Source organism: Homo sapiens, chromosome 9 (genome assembly GCF_000001405.40).
Source record: "Homo sapiens chromosome 9, GRCh38.p14 Primary Assembly".
Lineage (NCBI taxonomy): Eukaryota > Metazoa > Chordata > Mammalia > Primates > Hominidae > Homo > Homo sapiens.
The window spans coordinates 62284165-62307420 of NC_000009.12; the positions used below are offsets into that span (position 1 = coordinate 62284165).

At 35.9% G+C, this 23256-nt stretch overlaps 2 long non-coding RNA genes across 11 annotated transcripts in view; one reads left to right on the forward strand and one right to left on the reverse strand.

The window, feature by feature from the left end:
* Nucleotides 1-23256, reverse strand: part of LOC105379263 (uncharacterized) — a 104681-nt gene that overhangs the window by 34401 nt on the left and 47024 nt on the right. For 5 of the 10 annotated variants that reach the window (XR_001746493.2, XR_001746494.2, XR_001746495.2 and 2 more), the window contains 2 exons: nt 15204-15386; nt 1045-10337 (listed from right to left, as the gene is read on the reverse strand). This is a non-coding gene — a long non-coding RNA (uncharacterized LOC105379263). Of the gene's footprint in view, nt 1-1044; nt 10338-15203; nt 15387-23256 lie in introns of those variants that run through there. The other 5 variants (XR_007061527.1, XR_007061529.1, XR_007061530.1 and 2 more) reach the window with 3 other exon arrangements.
* On the forward strand, nt 8409-22976 carry LOC124902168 (uncharacterized). The gene is made up of 2 exons (XR_007061540.1): nt 8409-8492; nt 13408-22976. It is a non-coding gene; the product is annotated as an uncharacterized LOC124902168 (long non-coding RNA).

Below are 23256 nucleotides of genomic sequence, written 5' to 3' on the forward strand. Positions count from 1 at the left end.
TACTCTCTGTTGGATGGTTCAAATCAAGGTCAGAGTATTAGTTGGCTTAAGTGAAACACTGCAGAAAATGGTGTAAGACAATAATGATAATACACCAGCAATATTTGGCACTAAGATGTTGACCAAGGCCAGAGCAGATTGGGAAGGAAAGGGTCTTTGATTCTTTCTGATTACTGAGATGCCCTGCCAGGATCCACAGAAGGAAGGAAGCCCATTTTGCTTATATAAACATACTAATGACAGCTCCTGACAAACAATTTGTTTTTTTGCTGGCAGGAGAGTGATTATCTATCACAGAAATGCTTTTAGCAGAATGTACTTGGTCGTTTAGAATTGCTTATGGTTAACAAAGTAGAAGGTTGTGGATTTATGGGGCTCCCTGGAAAATGTCACATATACCACATATGTAACTATCTGCATAAAAATTAAGATATTTGATAATTGAGACAGGTATCTCCATGTAAATAAATTGTCTGCATACCTCTCTAGAAGTCTCATCTATCTGCCTGGGCAAGGGAGTATCTAATGACAGAACCAAGGATCTAAAGAATCAGATTAAGAGATCTAAATAATTCTCTGATTTGCCTATGCCTAATGATTACCTGAGTTCGTGAAATTACTAGTAAAGCTTTATATTTTGTAAGATCTTAGATTCTGATAAGTCTAATGTCACAATCCAATCAGTTTTTCCTATCTCAAGGAATCATGTCCATATAATGGAATTAATCCTGAAACTCTGAAAAGTTTTAATATTCTGGGGTCAGGGTAGATGAGAAGGAGTCTCCATATGACTTATAAACATGTAAGGAGAAATAGTAAAATTGTTGTAAAATTAAAAGAAGAACAGAAATTCATAAAATAAGCTATAACAATCAGGTTAAACAACAAAAACAAAAAGCAAAGCGTCTATCAGTAACATGATTGAATAGAAGAGCCGAGAGAGAGTTGTCAGTGGTAAAGGAATAAATATTATCTCATTTGATAGAGTGATTGTATTAGTCCATTTTAACACTGCTGATAAAGACATACCCACGACTGGACAACTTACAAAAGAAAAAGGTTTATTGGACATACAGTTCCACATGGCTGGGGAGGACTCACAATCATGGCAAAAAGGAGCAAGACACATCTTATGTGGGTGGCAGCAGGCAAAAAAAGAGCTTGTGCAGAGAAAATCCTGTTTTTAACACCACTAGATCTTGTGAGACCCATTCACTATTATGAGAACAGCATGGGAAAGACCTGCCCCCATGATTCAGTCTTCTCCCATCAGGTCCCTCCCACTACATACAGAAATTATGGGAGCTAGAAGATGAGATTTGGATGGGGACACAGAGCCAAACCATGTCATTTCACTCCAGCCCCTCCCAAATCTCATATCTGCATGTTTCAAAACCAGTCATGCCTTCCCAACAGTCCCCCAAAATGTCAACTCTTTTTAGCATTAACTCAAAAGTCCACAGTCCAAAGTTTCATCTGAGACAAGGCAAGTCCCTTCCACCTATGACCCTGCAAAATCAAAATCAAGTTAGTTACTTCCTAGATACAATGGGGTTATAGGGGTACAGGGATTGGGTAAACGCAGCCATTGCAAATGGGAGAAATTGGCCAAAACAAAGAGGCTACAAGCCCCATGCAATTCTGAAATCCAGAAGGGCAGTCAAATCTAAAGCTCCTTTGACTCCATGTCTCACATCTAGGTCACGCTGAGGCAAGAGGTGGATACCCATGGTCTTGGGCAGTTCCACCCCTCTGGCTCTGCAGGGTACAGTCTCCCTCCTGGCTGCCTTCATGGGCTGGTGTTAAGTGTCTGCAGCTTTTCCACGCACACAGTGCAAGCTGTCAGTGGATCTACACTTCTGGGGTCTGGAAGACGGTGGCCCTCTTCTCACAGCTCCACTAGGTGGTGCCCCAGTAGGGATTCTGTGTGGGGGCTCCCTCCCCACATTTTCCTTCTGCACTGCCCTAGCAGAGGTTCTCCATGAGGACCCCACCTATGTGGCAAACTCCTGCCTCGGCATTCAGGCGTTTCCATACATCTTCTGAAATCTAGGCAGAGGTTCCCAAACCTCAATTCTTGACTTCTGTGCACTTGTAGGCTCAACACCACATGGGAGATGCCAAAGCTTGGGGCTTGCACCCTCTGAAGCCATAGCCTGAGCTCTATGTTGTCCCCTTTCAGCCATAGCTAGAGTTGCTGTGATGCAGGGGATGAAGTCCCTAGGCTGCACACAGCAAAGGAACCCTGGGCCCAGCCCACAAAACCACTTCTTCCTCCTAGGTCTCTGTGCCTGTGATGGGAGAGGCTGAGGTAAAGACCTTTGACATGTCCTGGAGACATTTTCCCCATTATCTTATGCAAATGTCCATAGCTGGCTTGGATTTCTCCTCAGAAAATGGGATTTTCTTTTCTATTGCATTGTCAGGCTGCAAATTTTCCAAATTTTTATGCTCTGCTTCCCTTATAAAACTGAACGCCCTCAACAGCACCGAATTCACATTTTAAGTGCTTTCCTGCTTAGAAATTTCTTCTGCCAGATACCCTAAATCATCTCTCTCAAGTTCAAAGTTCTACAAATCTATAGGGCCAGGCAAAATGCCACCAGTGTCTTTGCTAAAATGTAGCAAGATTCACCTTTACTCCGGTTCCCAACAAGTTCCTTATCACCAGCTGAGACCACTTCAGCCTGGATTTCATTGTCCATATCACTGTCAGCATTTTGTTCAAAGCCATTCAGCAAGTCTCTAGGAAGTTCCAAACTTGGCCACATTTTCCTGTCTTCTTCTGAGTCCTCCAAACTGTTCCAACCTCTGCTTGTTACACAGTTCCAATGTCGTTTCCATATTTTTGGATATGTTTCCACCAGCACCCCACTCTACTGGTAACAATTTACTGTATTAGTTCATTTTCATGCTGCTGATAAAAACATACCTGCAACTGGGCAATTTACGAAAGAAAGTGGTTTGTTGGACTTACAGTTCCACATGGCTGGAGAGGCATCATAATCGTGGTGGAAGGCAAGGAGTAAGCTACATCTTACATGGATGGCAGCAGGCAAAAAAGAGATTGTGTGGAGAAACTCCCATTTTTAACACCATCAGATCTCGTGAGATCCATTCACTATCATGGGAACAGCATGGGACATACGTGCCCTCATGATTCAGACATCTCCCACTGGATCCTTCCCATAACACGTGGAAATTATGGGAGCTACAAGATGAGATTTGGGTGAAGACACAGAACCAACCCATATCAGTGATTATTTAAGATTTTTTGCAGAAGCCTAACTGTTCAAGGAAGGTGTGTGATGGCAAAGAATAAAAGCTACAGATAATGACATGGCATCAGCTTGATTGGATCCATATTTTGTGGGATCTACAGCACATTCAATTTGGCGGTCAGGGTTTGGGGCTCTTTAAGCAAGAATGCAAAACTACAAACTCAAAACTGGAAACTCAAATGCAAATGAGGTGGCCGGAAATGTAAGCCTCATAACTTAGGATAAGAGAACAAAAGCTGATAAACATTTTCTATAAAGGGCACGATAGTAGATACTTTAGGCTTGCAGGCCATATTATTTGTGTTGTAAATATGCAACTTTGCCTTTGTAGTGCTTAAGCAGCTGTAGGCAATATGTAAAGGAATGTCTGTGGCTGAGTTCCTATAAAATTTTATTTATAAAAACCCGTGGCAGCCTGGCTTTGGCTCATTGGCTATAGTTTGCCTACCCCTGGCTTAATAAATCTGCCTCTATTCATAAGTAAGATTCTGCTTGTGTTTTGACTTTGCCATGTGCTCAGGGAAGGTAAGTAAAATTAAAATGTCTAGGAGAAGAAAGTGTAAATAACAACAAATTCCTGTTGGCAACGTATTTATGAATATGGAAGAAGAGATGCCCTCTTATCCTGTGAGATGGAAAGAAAAAAAGCCAAGAATAAATACAAATTAAAGCAAGCAAGTCTAAAATAAGATAATTAACATTATTCTGGGAAGTAGAAGACAAAGTACTTCTGCTAGGAATGGGAAGACCAAATATGGACTGGAGTATTTGAAAACTCGGTGGATATTTGGAATATCTGTTGTGGACAAAAAAGAGACAGAAAAAAGGAAGAGATCAAAAAGTCAAGTAATTTGAAGTGATTATAGGGAAAAGTGATCTGGACACACAGTTTGTGTCATTCACAAAAGCATCTGACCAAGAGAGTAAACTCTGCCCTGTGGTCAACAGTTACTATTAAAATTTCATCATTCAGATTCAGGGCTTATTTCTAGTTGATACAAAAGTGGAACATTGCCCTACATAATGTTATACTTTTTGTTATTCAGAAATGTTGAAGTTTCTATGCATGAGGTTTTTGTTATTTGACATAATTATTTATTTCACTCATTGTGTTTATCTTATCCAGATTAGATAGAAATTAACCAATTTTAACTTTCTGTCTGTTCTGTATGTTTTAGTAACAAGTAATTCAGGAGTGCATGCAAATGCAACATGAAATGAACAGACGATAAAATAGAGTATATCTGCATAAAGACTTTTCATATGTTATAATAAACAGTATCAAAAACATTATTTGTCTTAAACTGTTTAAAAAATGCCAGTATAAGTCATTTTTAACCTAGTATCAAAATCGTAATCATGTGAAAAGTAAATATTTCTTTAAGTTTTGTAAAATATTTGATGTAGAATATTTAGCTCCAAATTAATTAGGAGAATTTCATAGTGTCTTATAATTAAGCTGCCCTTAAATACACCTGAACCTTCATGCAAACGTCTGTGGTTATTTGTCTCCACATGTTTCAGCAGATGAGGTGATTTGAATGCAGCAAAAAATTTAATAGCTTAAGTTGAAACAGGAATTATCCTAAGGGAATCTGTAGAAATGCATTCAAGAGCAGATGAGCTATATCTATTTCTTTCATGCTTTGGTGTAGTAAGTAATTGTTCATAGCCAAACGCTTTACGAAGATAAATGATTGATATAATGAATGACCCGAAGATGCCCAAGAGCACATGAAAACAGAAATGCCTTTGTTCTGAAGGAGAATGTCTTAGTATAGTTATAAATTGAATGTAAAAATTGTGGCTGAAATTATTCTAAAAATCACAAGAAGCTGCATTTAAACTGTGCTATGGCATCTATTCAAAAGATTTGAAACCATTTGTTTTCTGAATTGCACCCAACATAAAGCTTTCTCACACAGAACAAAACAGAAGTGAGCATCAGTCACACTTCCAACATGCATACATTTTGCTCTAAAGGAACAGCTGTTACTTGATGAAAAGTCGATGAAAGATGCCCAACATTTGTTTTTAAAAAGTTATCACCCAAACAAGAATTGTTTGGAACCAGATGCTAAAATCGAGAGTGGTCTGTTTATTTCAGTTCAGAGTGTTATAAAAATGTTAATAAGGTATTTTTATGTCTATTACCCAGCTATATTTGACTTTCTAATGTGCTTTTTGTTATAATTGGCTGTTGTTTCTATAGGCTGGCATTATTGGCATTAGATCACTGAAGAGTAAATAAAGTGAGCAAGAATACTCTCTTGTCACCAGATTACTGAGGTGTACTGGAGGTAGGTTGAATGGTTTTACAGATGAATTACAGTGAAAACTTTGAAACACTAATAATCTCTTCGGTGTTGAGAAATAACCTACTAATCATTAACTTAATAATTATCAGCTCAACCAGGAAACTACACCACCTAAAAGGTAGTTAATTTTATCACTCCTAGACATCTACAGGAGACCATGATTCTCCATTATGTGAATGCCTTGCTGCCCATGTGATGCCTGCACCCATCAATTCTAAGAAGCTTCAGTCATTTAGTACTTAATATGTAATTTTTAAAAATTACATAAGTAATACCTTCTCCTTATAGAGAACTGAAACTTTCAGAAACAGTTAAAGCCTAATTTGAATATTGCCAAAGCCCTGTCTCTTCTTCAGAGACAACCAGTGTTTCCAGTTTGGTGTGTATTTTCCCCAAATACAGTGAATGTGTGTATAAACACGTGTAGATTTACCTGTCCTAGATATGAGCATTTGCTTTGTGAGTCTGCTTTAAGTCAAGTTCTAAACTATGGCTCAGTTTAAAACTTATCTTTTTCTATTTAATAATATACCTTAGAAGTCATGCCATGATATTAAGATGAATAATAATGAAATTATTAATATTAGTCAAATTTAATTAGTTGCTTATTACGTAGTGGGTACTTGGTGTGATATATGGATTATCTCATTTAATCATCATGACAAGCTAATAAATTGGCAATGCTGTTATCTCCATTTTATGGAAGAGAGAAAAAGATTGTAAGTACTTTGCTCAAGGTCATTTAGAGGGAGAGCAAATTATTCAAATCCAGATATTCTGCTCTCAGAGATTGTATTATTAACTATTATGCCACAATAGAGGCATTGTAGTCTGCATGATAGTCCAACTATTTTTATTTGTAGTTATATATTGATGAATATCTAGAGTATTTTTAAAAATTACAACACAATACTGCAATTGACATTCTTGCATGATTATCTACCATGTATTTCCAAAAGTGGAAAGGCAAACATATGTGTTTAGTTTTTACAGAATGTAGACTATATAACAATTGTACTCCAAAGGAGATCTTGGTTATACATTGATACCAGCATAGTTTGAGCCTACCCTCTTCCCTGTACCCTCAAAACCCTTGTTAACATCTTATGTTTTGCCAGTCTGCTGAAGAAAAAATGGTATCCAATTGTTTAATTCAATTACTTGATTACTAGTGAAGTAAGAATTTTTTTATATTTATCATAATTTGTATTGCCTGTAATCTGAAAGGGTTATTCATATTTTTTTGCCTACTTTTCTATTAAGTCATGTCTCTCTAAGATCTAGCTTAAACGTTACTTTTTCCAAAAAACCTTCCCTGATCTCCCACAACTCAAAACATTATCTTCCTACTTTAGTTTCTTACAATATTTTATCTACATTTCTCTTATAACACCACTTTCTACTTTGTATGATTGTTATTTTAGTACTATCTAATCAGTCCTTTAATTTCCTTTGGGGACTATTTTATGGTGATTAATCCTTATGACACATATTGTCCACATTTTTTGGACAAAATTCTTCAATGAAGATTGATAATTAAAATTAATAAAAATTAAATTAATTAAAAATTTAATTAACTTAGCTTTTAATTTTTTAATTATCATATAGGCCACCTACTGAGATATACAATTTTTGGTCTAAAGTATTACTTTGAAACAATTATAAGAAAACAATTATAAGAAAAAAAATTTTTATTATTCTAAGATCCTTCGGATTGGAAAGTTGCTTGTTCTATATAACAAGATTTACTCTTTCCATATATTCTAGGATAAATTCATCATCTCTCTAAAAATTTCCTAATTTTTGTCATTCAGAAAAATAGCCAATTCCTGTCCTTCATTAAATTTTAATGAATAATCAGTCAATTATAAAACTCTTGAAAAATTCATATTAAAAAGGAAACATTTATATTATTAAAAAATAATAATTACAAAATGCCCATATAAATATTATTTAGGGCCAGGCACACTGGCTCACACCTGTAATCCCAGAACTTTGGGAGGCTGAGGTGGGCAAATCACTTGAGCCCAGGGTTTGAGACCGGCCTGGGCAACATGACAAAACCCTGTCTCTACAAAAAATTTAAATATTAATCAGATGCGGTGGTGTGCGCCTATAATCCCAGCTACTCAGGATGTTGAGGTGGGAGTGATGGGGTGGGAGTGAAAGGGAAGGGAGGCAGGGAAATTCTGGGCAAAAGAGGGCAGGTCCCTGGCAACGGCTCCACCCTCAAGCCTGGAACCAAAGCCCAAAGTGAGAACATACATTCCTGTTTTCCCACTCAAATGTTGCCTTTTACAAAATTACCCATGACCTCCCCTGTCCCCCATCCTGTGCCCATAAAAACCCCAGACTCAGCTAGCAAAAAAGAGAAGCAGCTGAACATCAAAAGAGAAGCAGCAGCTGGGCATCAGAGACTACGGTTGGACGTTGGAGAGAAGCAGCTTGATTTCAGAGAGACAGCTTGACAGTGCAACTTTGGAGAAGAGTCCAGCCAGAAACCTTCCTGCTACATCTCCTTCCCAGCTGCCCTTCCTGCTGAGAGCCACTTTCCTTGGCAATAAAATCCTCTGCATTTACCATCCTTCAATTCGTTTCTGTGAGCTGATTTTTTCCTGGATGCCAAACAAGAGCTCAGGAGTGAGTGTGGATACAAAAAGGCATGCTGAGCTGCTAACACTTCAGCTGTCTGAAGACGGCAGAGCTAAAGGAGCACTGTAATATGCCCACTGGGGCTTCAGGAATCACAGGCACCCCCCTAACCCCAGGGGCTGCTATGGGGCCCACATGGAGTTTGCTCCTGCCAACACCCCAAAGCTCTCTTCCTGGCTCCTGTACCTGCTCACCTGCATGCTCTCTCCTGCAAGAGGTGGAACACAGCAGGTCAGAGTGGGTGAGTTCACTCCTTCTGGCACCAAAGAGGCCACTGGTTCCAGCACTCGTGTACTCCAGTTCCTGCCTTGTTCAATTGCGCACTCCCTCCCTTGAGGAGTTGAGAGCAGTGGGCTGAGTAAATGGGGCACCCCTGTCACGAGTCCCATGAAGGGGTCAGGGAAATGCCCTGCTTCAGGAGGATCTCTTGAGCCCAGGAGGTGAAGGATGCACTGAGCCAAGATCGTGCAACTGAACTCTGGCCTGGGTGACAGAGTGAGACTCTGTCTCAAAATAAATAAATAAATAATTTAATTAATTAAATTTAGCTTATTCTTTTGAACTTCATTCTTCATAGTGTTATAAAATACATGATTTAAGACAGTGAGAAAGAGAGAGAAGCCAATGATGGACTTCTAATAGAATTCAGAGTGGGACTTGTTTGAACATTTCAACCAAATAAAAGATTCCTGCAATTAGTTGACTCTTCAGTCCACCTCAGTTTTAAACATGTCTCAGGTTGCCCTTAACCAACGAGTATAGTTTACTTTGGGCTGATAAATTCTGTGGATGGCAAGAGGTTGTGAATATCCCTTTATAAACCCAGAACTAATGCTACATATCCCTGGCATTAGTGCCTTATTTATCTAAACTTACAAATATATTGGGCAAAATTCCGGGATATGGGCACAGAATTAATAATTGAATACCTTATTTTGTATGGTCATTTGCTCACTGACAAAGATAGAGAAGCAGCTGAAATTCATGATTATGATCCCTAGTTACATCTCTCTTTAAGTCCTTATGTTTGGTTCCCTGGGAGTTTCAGCGCATTTATATAGCAGCACCCAAGTTTTTATAATCTGTTAAGTATTACTATCTAGGATTAGCTACTGAAGAATCAAGAACTGGTAGTTGATGAACTTGAAAGACAATTATCCTATATAGTGTTTCTTGAGGACACTAATTTCTTAAGATAGAATGAGAGGAAAACATAATATCCACAAACAGAAATAAATTTTGGAATATTATATGCTTTAGCTTCCTCTTGGATATTTACAAAAATATTAGCATATTAACGATTACAGAATGAAGAAACCTTTTTAGCTACATTTAAACTAGTCCTAGAGTTTGGATATATTTCCTCCAAATTCATGTTTAAGTTTAATCCTCAAAGTGATGAGGAAGTGGGGCCTTTGGAGGCAATTAAGTCATGATGGCTATGCACTCATGAATGAGATTAATATCCTAATTAAGGAAGCTTCTGAGAGCTTCCTGGCTCTTCCATTTCTTCTGCCATGTGACAACATGGCATTTGTCCATTTTGTCCCTTTGCTTTTCCTACCATGTGATTAAGTCATGCAAAATGACATCTGTGAAACAGGCCCTCATCAGACAATGAATATGTTGGTGCCATAATCTTGAACTTCCCAACTCCTGAACTTTCAGAAATACATTTCTGTAATCATAAATTACCCAGTTTGTGGTATTTGTTATAAGACCAGGAACAGACTAAAACAGCAAATGCTTTCCCCCATCCCTGACTACTTTCAGAATGTTTAAGAGTTGTCCATACCGTTTCTTATGGCAATTATGAGGCAGATATTTTTCAGGAAAGTGGCATGCATATATGTGAATTTTTTTAGAGGAGTTGAAAAACAAAACAAAACACTTGTTTGGCAATGTTCATTCCTCACAGAATCAGTGCTATTCATTTTGGAAAATATCTTAGTATCCTGCTTGTTGCCTTATTAGTTGTTTTTCTCTCATTGCAATCAGCTGTTGCCATGTACCTTTTGCATTTGGTGGTCAGGGTCTTCGGAATCGTATGAATCTGATATCAAATCCCAGTTGTATTGCTGACTAGCTGTGAAAAAAGATTTTAAACTTATTATTTTCAGTTTACTCGTTTATTAAGTACCAATATTAATATTGAAACTAGAGAAATAGATTAAATGGCATACTTGTATAGTAATTGTTACATAGGAAAACTCTCAATAAATCAATGCTGTTATTATTACCATTAATATTCCCTAGATGTGAAGATTGTCTTCAGAGGAAACATACTGGAAAAAAAAAAATGAGTTTTACAGAAGTTTTTCAGCAGAAGTTGATTGGTTTTACATACACACACACACACACATGCACATATATTTACACACATATAAATATGTATATTTTATATATATATATGCACACACATTTGTTTCTATTTAAAATGAAAAAAGTACGTTAGTCATGTGTGCCCAATTTTCTGATACACTAAAAAATGGAAATATCTTGGCAGACACTATTGATAGGCTATGCAAATGTAAACTTCTCTTGCCTAGTTTTTTATTTGGAAAGTAAAATATCCATGTTTCTTGGTGTGGCCATGTGAATTTTGTGACATTGAAATGGATATCATAAGATAGGTTCCTAAGAAAGCCTTTAAAAAAGCACAAACTTGGCCTGCATGGCTTTGGCCTTTTGCCCCTTTGCCCTTTGCTGCTTCAGCCTTTCCTATTTTTCTTGGCTGCAATATGAGCAATCATGTCTCAGGGTGCTACAGGCATCAAGCTATCTTATATCATACCTCTTTCTAAGGAAATGCTATTAATGTCCCTGCATGTGTATAACAAATCTTCAGCGTCCCTGTGAGGCTGCTCTTCTTATCCTGTCCTGGCTTGTACTTTCTTTTGTAGAAGTAAGTAAACATCTTGCCTGTGAAAACTGCTTTTAGTTGCACCCTGTATTCCTTATAGCTAAACCCTATCTACCTGAAACCTATATTGATACTTAAGCCATATATTTAGTTTGGAGACCAGATTAAATTTAGAGTTCCATTAATTCCATAATAAATATTTTTGAGTGGCTAGTATGGGTAATGTGATATTTAAGCTACTGGTATAGTGTGGTAAACTGAAGATATGACCTGAAATGTTTGTAACTTATATGATAATAAGTGGAGAGAGCTGAAAATTAGGTAAATAAATAGATAACCACAGATTTTGATCTGTTATACAAATACGATAAATATGGCAGAAAGGACTGTAAGCTAAGGAGTAGAGTAAGAGAAAGCAATTATAAAGATTGGCAACTAAATGTTATCTAACAAGTGATACTTAAAGGCTGAGATACTTTAAACTATAAGACACAGTTTTGTAAAAATCTTGGAAATTGTGTTTTTTAAGTTAATGGTGCAATTTATCTAATGTGTAAATACAAGTGCTGGTTTGTTGAAGGAGCAGAAAAAAAAAGATTAGTTTGAGTATGGGGAAAGAGAAGGAGATTGGAGAGAGGTTTAAGAACTAAGCATATGCCAGTTTATATAGAGTTTATGTAACAAAGAAGAGATTTTTTGTGCATCAGGTTGTATTGTTGCATAATACTATACCCCAAACTTACTGGTATAAAATAGTAAACTTGTATTATGCTCACAGGTTCTGTGGGTCAGGAATTTAGAAACAGGCACAGTGGGCATGCCCCTTTTCTGCACCTCAATGATGAGGCCTCAGCTGGGAAGATTTACATGTCTGGATGCAACTCAAATAGCTGAGGGCTAGGACAGCTTGGACTGGAGTGTCCACTTCCAAAATTGCTTTTTATGCCCATATCTGGCACTTGGCCTTGTGTATTTGAAGCTAGGAATGAACTGGGATTGTCAACCAGAACTCCTATTCGTGGTCTATCCTCATGGTTTGGGTTTCTCCCAGCCTGGCAATACTGGGGCCCTCCTGAGATGGAGGAGTCTGAAAAAAAGTGAGCAGAAGTCAGATTGTCGATTTAGGCCAGGTCTCAAAAGTTACACAGCATTGATTTTTTTTGTATTCTCTTAGTCAAAGAAGTTAAAAGTCCTCCCAGATTCAAGGTCAGAGACCCCAGTCCCCACATCTCAATGAAATGACAGTTGAAGAACTCTGAGGAGATATTTTATAACCATTACATTATATCAAATGAAAAAAGGTGATTTTTTAATGTCATTTAATTTGTCCCACAATATTGACTTTTTACTCTTCTCCATGTCCTGATACTCATAATATTCCTCATTTTTCTCCATTAAACTCCATCTTTCAGGGACACTTCTAATACATTATTTTATACTAAATTGTAAACTAGAATTAATTTTTGAAGTATTGCCACTTGCAGGGGGATGTATATTTAATTTACGGAATTATAAATCTAGACAATAATGTACATTGTTAGGATTTTCTATCAGAATTATTTTAATTAATAAATGTTACCTTTAAATTTTTTTAAATCATCCTTTTTTAAGCATTTATTCAGTCGGGACTTTCAGTTCATGTACTTTCCTCTAAATTAAAATCAGATATCATTTGTAGAATTTTATGCAATGACTAAGATGGTTTTTTGGGAGATGATATTTATTACCAAATTTTCTGAAAATATGTAGTATTTGCATTATGTCATGATTTCTTATATTACAATAGTTTTTTTAAAAAAATTTCAATAACATTAAAATTATTTCTAAATACATCTTAATTTAAAGTAGTTAATTTTAAAATATTTAGTCATTTACTTATAGAATTTAATTTAAATTACCGAGGTGTGTGCATGAGATCAAATAATTATTCCACATTTGCAGTATTTCACAGTGTTTTGTTCTATTTATAATTCGTGTTCCTTCTATGTGTGGAAAAAAAAATAAGGCTTGTCATGTTCATAACAAAATGTTAAAACCTTTAAGAAAGAATGGAAACTACAACAGAATATTTCTAATTTCAGTTGTACTCCATGTCTGCCATTATACAGATTGTTTAGAGAATCTCCCAAATTACATTCCATATAAAAAGAAATTGAGTGTCAGTGTATCAAACAGAACCATTTTAAACAGTCATGCGAGATGGACAGAGGAGGTATAATAATATGGGCCCTGAAGTGTTACAGTATGATAGAGTCATAGTTTTATGATAGTTTTTTTTCACTTTAATTTCCAGGAACAATCATGAAGTTTAAGAAGAAAGAATACTGTCAGAAAAGAGGCAATTTTTTTTATATTTAAAAAGTTCCCTTTTTCCAGTCTATTCATTTTTATGCATCAACTCTCATTTTATCTTGACAATTTCATAATAACTATATTTACCTTTATTTTTTATCCATATGCATTTCATTTAAAAGTGAAAACTTTCACTCAAAATGTAAAAAGAACTTATAGAATTTGCCTCCAAAGAGCTCTACTAGTCTGTCTTTCCTATTTCATCCAATGTTACGACTACAATTCCCATCTATCAAACACAGCAGTCAATTGGTAAGTCATTTATGTCTCTTTTTATACTATTTTTCATGAAGTTTCTTTATTTTCCAGTTCTATTGTATGTCACCTCAAATATCCATACAACACATTATTTTAATCTCCTTCCCTCTAAGCATTCCTGTTCCACTTAATCTAACACAATGTTCTCAAAGATATGACAAAGTGCAACTCTGTTAAAAAAGCTTCAAAGACTTTCCACTGAACTGAACAGAATTAGAATAGATGATTATTTCAGTCATGTGTTGGTATATAACAAAATACCCCAATCACCTATTCTTCCTCCTCTTAAAGTCAATGTATTATTAAAACGTCCAACTTCCTTTTATGAAATATTTCACACATACCCAAAACTGAAAAATAATTGATACAGCAACATAACCAGAAACAAGATTATAAGAAATTCTACAAGGGATAACTACAGGCTAAAATTGTTTAGCATCCCCTTGTATATTTCTCTATTTTTAAGTACAGGTCTGTGTATAGAATATTTTATACCGCATACAGTAGTGTTTGTATCTTCAAATTTAAATAAGATGTTATTGTTTTCTCTGTATTATTTCAACACATGCTTTATAATCTCACTATGATATTTTTGAGAACCATTCCAGCTGATACTTGGGTATCTGTTTTTGTTTAATTTCTATATGGGATTTCATTATATATATAATATAAAGCTATCAATTTTCATATCAGGAAATATTGGCATTTTTATATTTACCATTGTAAATGTTAAAAACAAAGCTACAATAAATACTTATTGTTTTGTTGTTTATATATATTAGAATTTTCATAGGATACACATAGAGCAGGGAAATTTTACAACTTTGGGCACTTTCATCCTTACATTGTCAAGTAGCTTTCCAAAGTCGTTGTATGAATTTATCTTCCCACTATATAATTGTTAGAGTTCCTGTTTTCTAATAGCCTCATCAAAGAGGAGAATTTCTCAAGTATTAAGCAGTAAAGTAAAAAAAAAGTCATCGTTCTACAAATTCAATTTTACTAAATAAAATATATTTTATATTTTCTTTAAAAGTGATACAAGATGTCTTTCACATTTGAAGTTAATGTGATGATAGAATACAATTTACAATTTTTCTATATGTTAATCAAATGTATCACTGCTATTTTATGAATAGTTATTCATTTTTCTGGGTGATACGACAATTCATATGTAAAATATCGAAAGTCTACCATGAATTTTTGAATTTCCTGCTATAGTCCAGTGAACAAATTGTTCATCTCTGAGTCAATGCCGCACTATCATAATGACTATAATTCATAATCAATTCTTATTGAATATCTGCTCAGTGCCAGTATATGAGTTTGCTGGATCTGTTATGACAAATTACCACAAACCTAAATGTTTAAAGCAAAAGAAATATATTCTCTTACAGTTCTGTAGGGCAGAAATCTGAAATAAAGGTATAGATAGGCCCACTTTCCTTCTCAAGTGTTTATGGGTGGATCCTACTTTACCTCTTTCAGCTGCTGGTGGCTCAAGGCATTCTTTGGTTTGTAGCTGCATAACTCCAATCTCTGCTTCCATCCTCAAGTAGCCTTCTTCTATTTCCTGTATCTTCTCCTCTTCTGTCTTTCATAAGAACACTTATTGGATTTAGGGTGCACTAGGATCATCCAGTATGACGTCATCTCAAGATCCTTATTAATATATACAAAAAAATTAGGTCACATCTACAGTTTCTGTGGGCTAGCATATGGAAAGATATGTGCATATTTATCATATTTTGGGAGGCACCATTGAATCTACTAGAGACAAACATCTACATTTAGGATATTAAAGAAAAAAATCCTTGCCTTTGTAAAGATTACAGTGAGATGTAGGATGACACAAAAGAAATAAAATATAGACAGGTGTTGAAAAGTTATATATTTTGTGAAGAAAATAAAGTAAGGCAGGATACACAGTAATAGTGGCAGATTACAATTTTAATTAATGTATTCAGTAAGTAACATTGTAAAAATAGCATTGAAATAAACACATCAAAAGGCTGAGGGAAGAAAAAGAATATAGTTTTTCTCTACATCCCAAATTACTTCTGATTGAATGTTTTTACTGGGATCTGTTTCTGGGAGAGACTAAGAGAGTGACTAACTTTGGATAGATTCTGAATGTAGAGCAAGCAGAAAGACTCGCTGAAAGGTGGGATGTGCAATTCTTGACAAAGAAAATAAGTAGGATTGACTCTAAGATTTTTGCTTTGAGACAAATGGTCGTAGGTGAGAATGTGCATTTCAAAGTTGAGATGTTTATTAGCTTCTCAAAAGAAGACAGCATAAGAAGTTGGATGTAAGAGCCTGGCATTTAGAAGAGAAGTAAGAGGTAGAGGTACAAATTTGCAAGTTCTTAGCATAAACAATATTGTAAACCATGGCTCTGTGAGAACTCATCAAGGGAGTGGGGGTGGACACAGAAGTGTTCCAAAGACTAAGAAATAGCATACAAAGACATAAGAAGAAAGCCAAGAGGACGTGTTCTGGAAGCCAAAGAAAAAAAGCTGGGTTTTTTTGTTTGTTTGTTTATGTGTTTTTGTTTGTTTGTTTTTTAATTAAAGAAAAAGAGACTACTGATAGATCAATAAAATGAGAATAAAAAATTAACCTTTAAATTTTGGAACATGAAAATAATTAGTGATTTGAAAGGAACATTTAATTGAAATGGTCAATACTTTTCTAGTATTTTAATTGTAACTCATGCCTCACTTTGTTACCCAGGTTGGACTGGACTCCTGGCCTCACATTTTCAAATAATTAATGCTTATTTAGATTTACCCTTACATTTAACAGGTTTACAGTTGCCACTTGCTTCTCACACTTGTCTTTTTTAGTGTTTTCTTTTTTCTTTCTTTGTTACTTTAAAAAGGGTTGTTCAATGAATCCATGAGTGCGCTTTCTTAAAATTTTGTAGACCCAAAAAGTCTCAGCACTGTGTATAGTATTCTATCTTGCACTGTATATTTTGCATTTGGAACTTGGTATGCCATTGCATTATTGTATTAGTTTTTCAGTGAACTAGCTTCTTTTTAAAATATTCACCAAATCAGTGTTCTTTCTAGTTTGGATTTATTTTTATCAATTCTGTTCAGAACTTGTCCAATTCCTGAATGTGAAAATTTTTTTTCTTTAATGACTTATAGAAAATTTCCAGTTATTACCTCTAGATATTGCCTCAATACCATCTTAAATGCACCCAAAGTATCTAATATAATAATAATTTTTGTCCATCTTGCTCTATATTGATAACTTTATTTCTCTGTGATATATATTTATTATATTAATTTTAATCATCCATATCTCATAGGTTTTTAAATTCAATTACTATATTTTTATTTTTGGATATCCTTTGCCAAATCTGCTCTTCATTTCTTTTTAAATGTCTTTAGTGTTTATGTATGTTCATTACATATTATTAATTTTATAATTTTTTTCAAATTATTCATCTATTTTTACACATACTTTTAATTCTGCTGTTTTACATCTGCTGACTCTTATTGCTGGTTTTTTGTTTTTTTTTTTTGAGACAGAGTCTCACTTTGTTGCCCAAGCTGGGTTGCAATGGTGCAATATCAGCTTGCTGCAACTTCCGCCTCCCAGGTTCAAGCAATTCTCCTATTTCAGCCTCCCAAATATCTGGGATTATAGGCGCCTGCCACCATGCCTGGCTAATTTTTTGTATTTTTAGTAGAGACGGGGTTTTGCCATGTTGGCCTGGCTGGTCCTGAACTCCTGACCTCAGGTGATCCACCCGCCTCAGCCTCTGAAATTGTTGGGATTACGGGCGTGAGCCACCGCGCCTGGCATGTATATCATTTTTCATTGTGTATTTTGTAATTTTTGTTTGTGAATTTATTTTTAATATAGTTTTCAATTTAACTTGTTAGTTTCTGTAGTGGCAAATCCTTGTGTTTGCAATATTGGATTATTTCTCCATAAGAGTTTCACATTTCTTCTGCTAGGAAATCCATGGGGAATATTGGAATTGGGCTAGTTTTTATTTTATTTCTAATGTTTAAAGTTTCTGAAAAATATTGGCGTCAAAAAATTCTACTTCAATCCTGAGTAAAGAATAAAGTGCTAGTGACAAATTCCCAGTTGTGTTTTCCTTTCTTAATATTTGAGAGCCACAGCAAATGTTGCATACCCTTTGATGTTAAGCAGAAACTTTTGTCTAGACATTGACTTCAGGCTTTAAAATATGTAGTATCTCCCCCAGATTAAAGGTAACTAGTCCCTGATTTCTATTAAAATATAATTTTTAGAAGCTTAAAATCATAGCTTTCAGACAAATATAAAATGAATAGGTTTTAAAGATATTAACTTGAATTAATAAATAACAAATAGATGTTTTAAATGACACAAAGGGAATCTGAGAAACTGGGACATTTAGAAGCAATTTAGCAAAATAACATTAAGATTGTTTGGTTAAATAAATAAATATAGATTGATATATAACAGTGTCATAAATCTGTGAGGTTATCTGTTCTACTAAGGAGATATATTTGTATCTTTACAGGAAAAAAAAATTCATGGTGCAAAATCCCTTTACTAAATCTGGTACCTTTAATTATTATTGTATAGCACTTAAGTATAGGAACTTGAATATAGCCAATATATTCCTAAAGATCTAAATTACTCTCCAAATAAAATGCTTTTTGTACATAATTTTTTCTATTCCCATTAATTATCTTTCACAGTTTTATTTTGTTTTGATTTTTTCATTTGTTCCTTCCCCCTCCCCTTGGCATTCAGTTAATTCTTCTATTTTATTTCCCAAACAGGCACATTATCATTAAATGTAATGGTTGGCTGAATCATAACCACATTTAAATATTGCTCTGTTTTGCCATTTGTTTTTCTTCCTTCTTTCTTTCCTTTCTTCGTTCTTGCTTTTCTTGGCAAGCTTATGAAGTTTTATTTGTGTAATTGCTACACAAAGAAACTTCATTGTGTTTGTATTTGCCCTTCAATTGGATCATAAATGCCTTGGTGGCAATGAATGTACATAGCTATTTCTGCATCCTAAGTAGCATATATGTAGGTTTTGAATACAGGATTGATAAATGTTTGTCTTGTGAAATTAAAATAATTACTGATGTCTACATATTGTTTCCAGCTTGCTTCTCTGTTGTTTCCTCTTTAGATATGCTAGATAACCACTTCAATATGATTCTTCTTATGTAAAACCTCATATATTCTCAAAAGTATTATGTATGCATTCAACTAACTGTACATCTACAGTACAGTAAAAAATGAGATTGTAGTAAGTGAAAATGCATTTATAAGTATAGGCAAATTTTTAGGCAAGACACCTCATAAAGATCACTTTAGAAATTAGATCAAGTAAAAATAAGTCACAAAAAGAAACGTGAATTAGTCATCTTAAACATTGTTTTAGGCAGTAAAACAACATTGAAAAAAGAGGATCTTGTAAAGCCTGATACTTGATTCCTATAGGATAACTGAATCAAATCAGGTGTTTTAGAGGTAATGGTCACCTGATTGTTTTCTCTTGAGTTTTTTCATATAATAGGTGCAGTGGTTCTTGCAATGAGGATTTTTTTTATGGAAATGTGAAATAAAGTACAGAAATTCCTAATGAAAACCTGTCTTTTAAGTGGATCTCTAAATTCTAAGAAAGTGCTTATATTATCTTAGTTATTTAGCTATTAGCCTGTCAATCATTAGGAAAGTAAGAGCAATTTACAAAGCATCTACCACTGTGCTAGTACTTGCTCACATGTTCTCATCCACCTAAGGGAATATTCAAAGCATCTTAATAGTTGCTACTAATTCATATAATTTAATTAATAGAATAGCAAATACATTCTCATCTTATTTCACATTTTTAACATACACAAGATATAGCTATTTTATAGTGATTAGGTTTAGTAAAAATAACACTGATAAAACTCAACTGTTAGCATGTACAGTTTTAGGCTACGTATTTTTCAAAACAACAAAATATAATTTTTTTAGACTCAACTTGAAATTTTGTAAAAAATAAAGTTTCAGAAATAGTAAACTATCACAGAACAAGAAGCATAATAGAAAGTAGAAATTGTTTTACTATAAAAAATACTATAAATAAAAGGGCTAAATGTTTCTTAATATTCGTATACTGATACCAAATATTAGATGCCTTGAGTCACTAAATTAAATTGTCCCTAAATATTACATTTATTATTTAAAATGTTAATGTTGCTTACAAACCTCAACAGATATTTTTGCCAACTTATAGATGGGAGAATTTAAAAAGATGTTGGTGTTTTTAAAAATAGCTTTTAGAAAAGCAACAAAGTGATTTTATGTCTGGAGGTGAAGACCCTTGGAGGAATTTTTCTCATGGACTGTCAAAATATATACCCAAACCATAAGTGGATGTCTGAATAATAACTCATTTACTTTTATTTGATTTGTCAGGTTTTATTTTTCAAAACAAGAGTCAGAATAAGTGATGTCTTTTAGTTGGACTTGTTTCTATTGTTTATTAACATATCCAAGGAACACGTAGAATGAATTGGCAGAATATAATCATATTATCAAATAATTATTAGTTTAGTCAGTTTCATAAACCTAGATAATCAAATGAAAATACATAATAATATAATTATGTCATAATTTTTATCAAAATTTTAAAATTAATGAATTAAATCCAGCTACCAAAGATAAGGGTTTGTGAAAAGTAGATACAATACTAGAGTGGAGGTTGTAATGAAAACTCAGAATGGGCTATAGTATTAAAAAAAAATAAAGACCTCCAGTATTTTTTTTTCTCAAAATGGCAGATTAGAGTCATTGTTAGCATGCCTCTCCTATTTGGAAAGACAGAATTGTGTGTGGAGATTCACACTGTAAATTTTTTCCAAGAAGCAACACAGAAAATTAACAGGAAAACTGAAAGAAAGCACAGACTTTTTGAAAGAAGTGTCAGGTTGCTGTCTAAAATCATGAGCCAGGAGGAAAACTTTAAGTCCCTAGAATGTCAGATAGGGATAAACTGCCTCTAGGACATATACTCCTACTGGGGAACCAAGCAATCCAGGCCACAGGGAAAGGCCTTAATCCCACCCAGCGCTGGAGCTGATTTAGTGAGCAGTGGGGCATATATGAGAAGTAGCAGCATGGGGACGGGCTTAGTGTGCATGCCCAGCAGGACAGAGGAAAGCCATCCCTGATCCTATCTCACAGGGGACCTCACAGAAGTCAGCCAGGTAACTCAGGCAGTGGTCACAGGTTGAGAGAAGCTCTCAACTGAGATTCGTGATATAATCTCGAGTGGAGACAAACCCCCTTGGTCAGAACCATGGGGCAGATGGGAAATGTGCTGCAGCCATAGGTGCAAGAGCTGGGTGCCCCTGCTTCATGGGCCAACTAGGAGAGGCGTGACCTGGAAGCCATGGTTGCAGTCTCTTCTGGGAAGTCTTATGGCCTTGGGCAGTGTTGAGTTCTGAGTGTTGACTGCTTGGAACCAAGCTGCTGCGAGTGGGACACTGCAGGTGCAAGACCTGCTTTGCCAAGTGTGTGGGAGCTGAGTGGGGCTAACTGCTGCCTGCTGCTCCCTATTCCTCATACAGATGCTTCTCTGCAGCAGAGGCAGCTGTGGTACTCCCTGCAACATTACTCCTACAGCCAGAGGACCACTATCTGATCCCCACTGGGGACAGTGCTTTTGCCCACACATGGCAGACAAAAGAGAGCTAGAATGTGAACTTGCCTGATTCAGCCCCCAGCTGGCTTTGCCCCTCCATCTGCCCTGGTAGCTTAACACAAAGAATAGAAAATTTTGAGAGCTCAATGGCCCTGCCCATTGCCTGAGTCATCAGCTTACCTCCCCTGCGTAACATAAGGCAAGCACAAATCCCACTGCTACCAGCTGGTGCTCTTTTTCAAGTGCCACCTTGTGGCTGGAGGCCTACTGACACAATCCATTACAGCATCTGCAGGCACACTAACAGTGCACAGGAAAGAGAAAACTTGTGTGTGACCTAAGCTGTCACCTTTGCCTATATAACCTTGGCTTACTAGGAGGTCCTGAGTCTGTCCATGCGACCAGTTCATCACTACTACAGGTGGCATTACAGAAAAACCAATGCACCAAGACTACTTATAATCAAGAAATCTCACAGAGTCTATGTCATTCTCCTGTCACCCCCATGAGAGCTGTTGTTGCTACTCACTACAGAGTCTTGAGAACAGGTCACATCACTGGACCCCTTGTAGACATTCCCCAGCACCAACCTGGAGTGTGGCAGTCCCACTAGGTGGCTAGAGCCAGAGAAGTAGCAGCATTCATACTAGTCTGGCCCTCAGGGACTCCTACTCTTAGGATAAGGGGGAGTGCACATCAGTGGCACACCCCATGGAAAAAAGAATCTAGATGGCAGGACTTGAGTCCAGAACTTCCCACCTGTGGAAAGTTTCTTTCAGTAGAGGCACAGGTACAGTGCTGGACTTGGGAAAATCTACAGAACGGTCTTGAAGAAAAAGATTTCCCCCCTCATTCACCACTGCAGACACAGCTGGTGCTTCTCTTATGGGAATTTAGCATGAGTGGACCTGTAGATAGCCTTTCTGGAACACTTCAAGTTAACTGCGTCCCCAGAGGAGGAGTCCCCTCCAGATTCAGATTTGCATAAGGCATAGAATCACAATCTCTCTCTACTTGGAACATGAGAATTCCTGCAAATAAAAAGGGCCTGCTAATCTGAATAGCTAGAACTGTATTTAGGAGTGTGACCTGCTTTCCTGGGGGCCTGGCAAGGGAGCTGAAGTGGCTCCCTCCCTTCCCCGTGAAAAGACCTCAGTGCATTTCACTAAGAGCTCCCACAGATGCCTTGGTCAAGGCTTGGGCTTCTTCCCACCATTGGGTATTGCATTTACCAATCTGCTGGTTTTCACTCAGGGACACCTCCCCTACTGGCCTGAAATCTGAATTATTCAACCAGGTAAAGAAAACACTGGGAGAAAAAAAAAGGCAAAAAAGTGCACACCACTTGGGAACTAGATAAGCTTCATGAGACCTCTGCCATTGCTACCCCACAGGAAACAGTGAACCTCCACACACACACTGAGCATAATGTTACCACAACTAGCATCTGAGAAAGCCAACATACAAACATTTTAAATAACCAGGGAACTTATACAGTCTTCACCCCTGAAAGCACCCAGAGCTGAATTAGGTTACAATAAACTATAAACATTAAAGTCACATCCTCAAAGTGAAAAAAAAAAGTGAAAAATCACAGTCAAATCAAAAAATAAATTCAAAAATAATTAGAAGATATAGTCTCAAAAGTAATTAGAAGATATACTCTATCCAAATGAGAAGAAACCAGAAAAATAATTCCGGCAATAGGACAAAATAGGGTTCTATAACACCTCAAAAAGAACACACTAAGTCCCCAGCAATGGATCCCAACCAAGATGAAATCTTTGAAATGCCAGAAAAAGAATTCAAAGAAATAAGCAAAGTCTCTTAGAAATAGGTGACTATGTAAAATGGCCAAATATA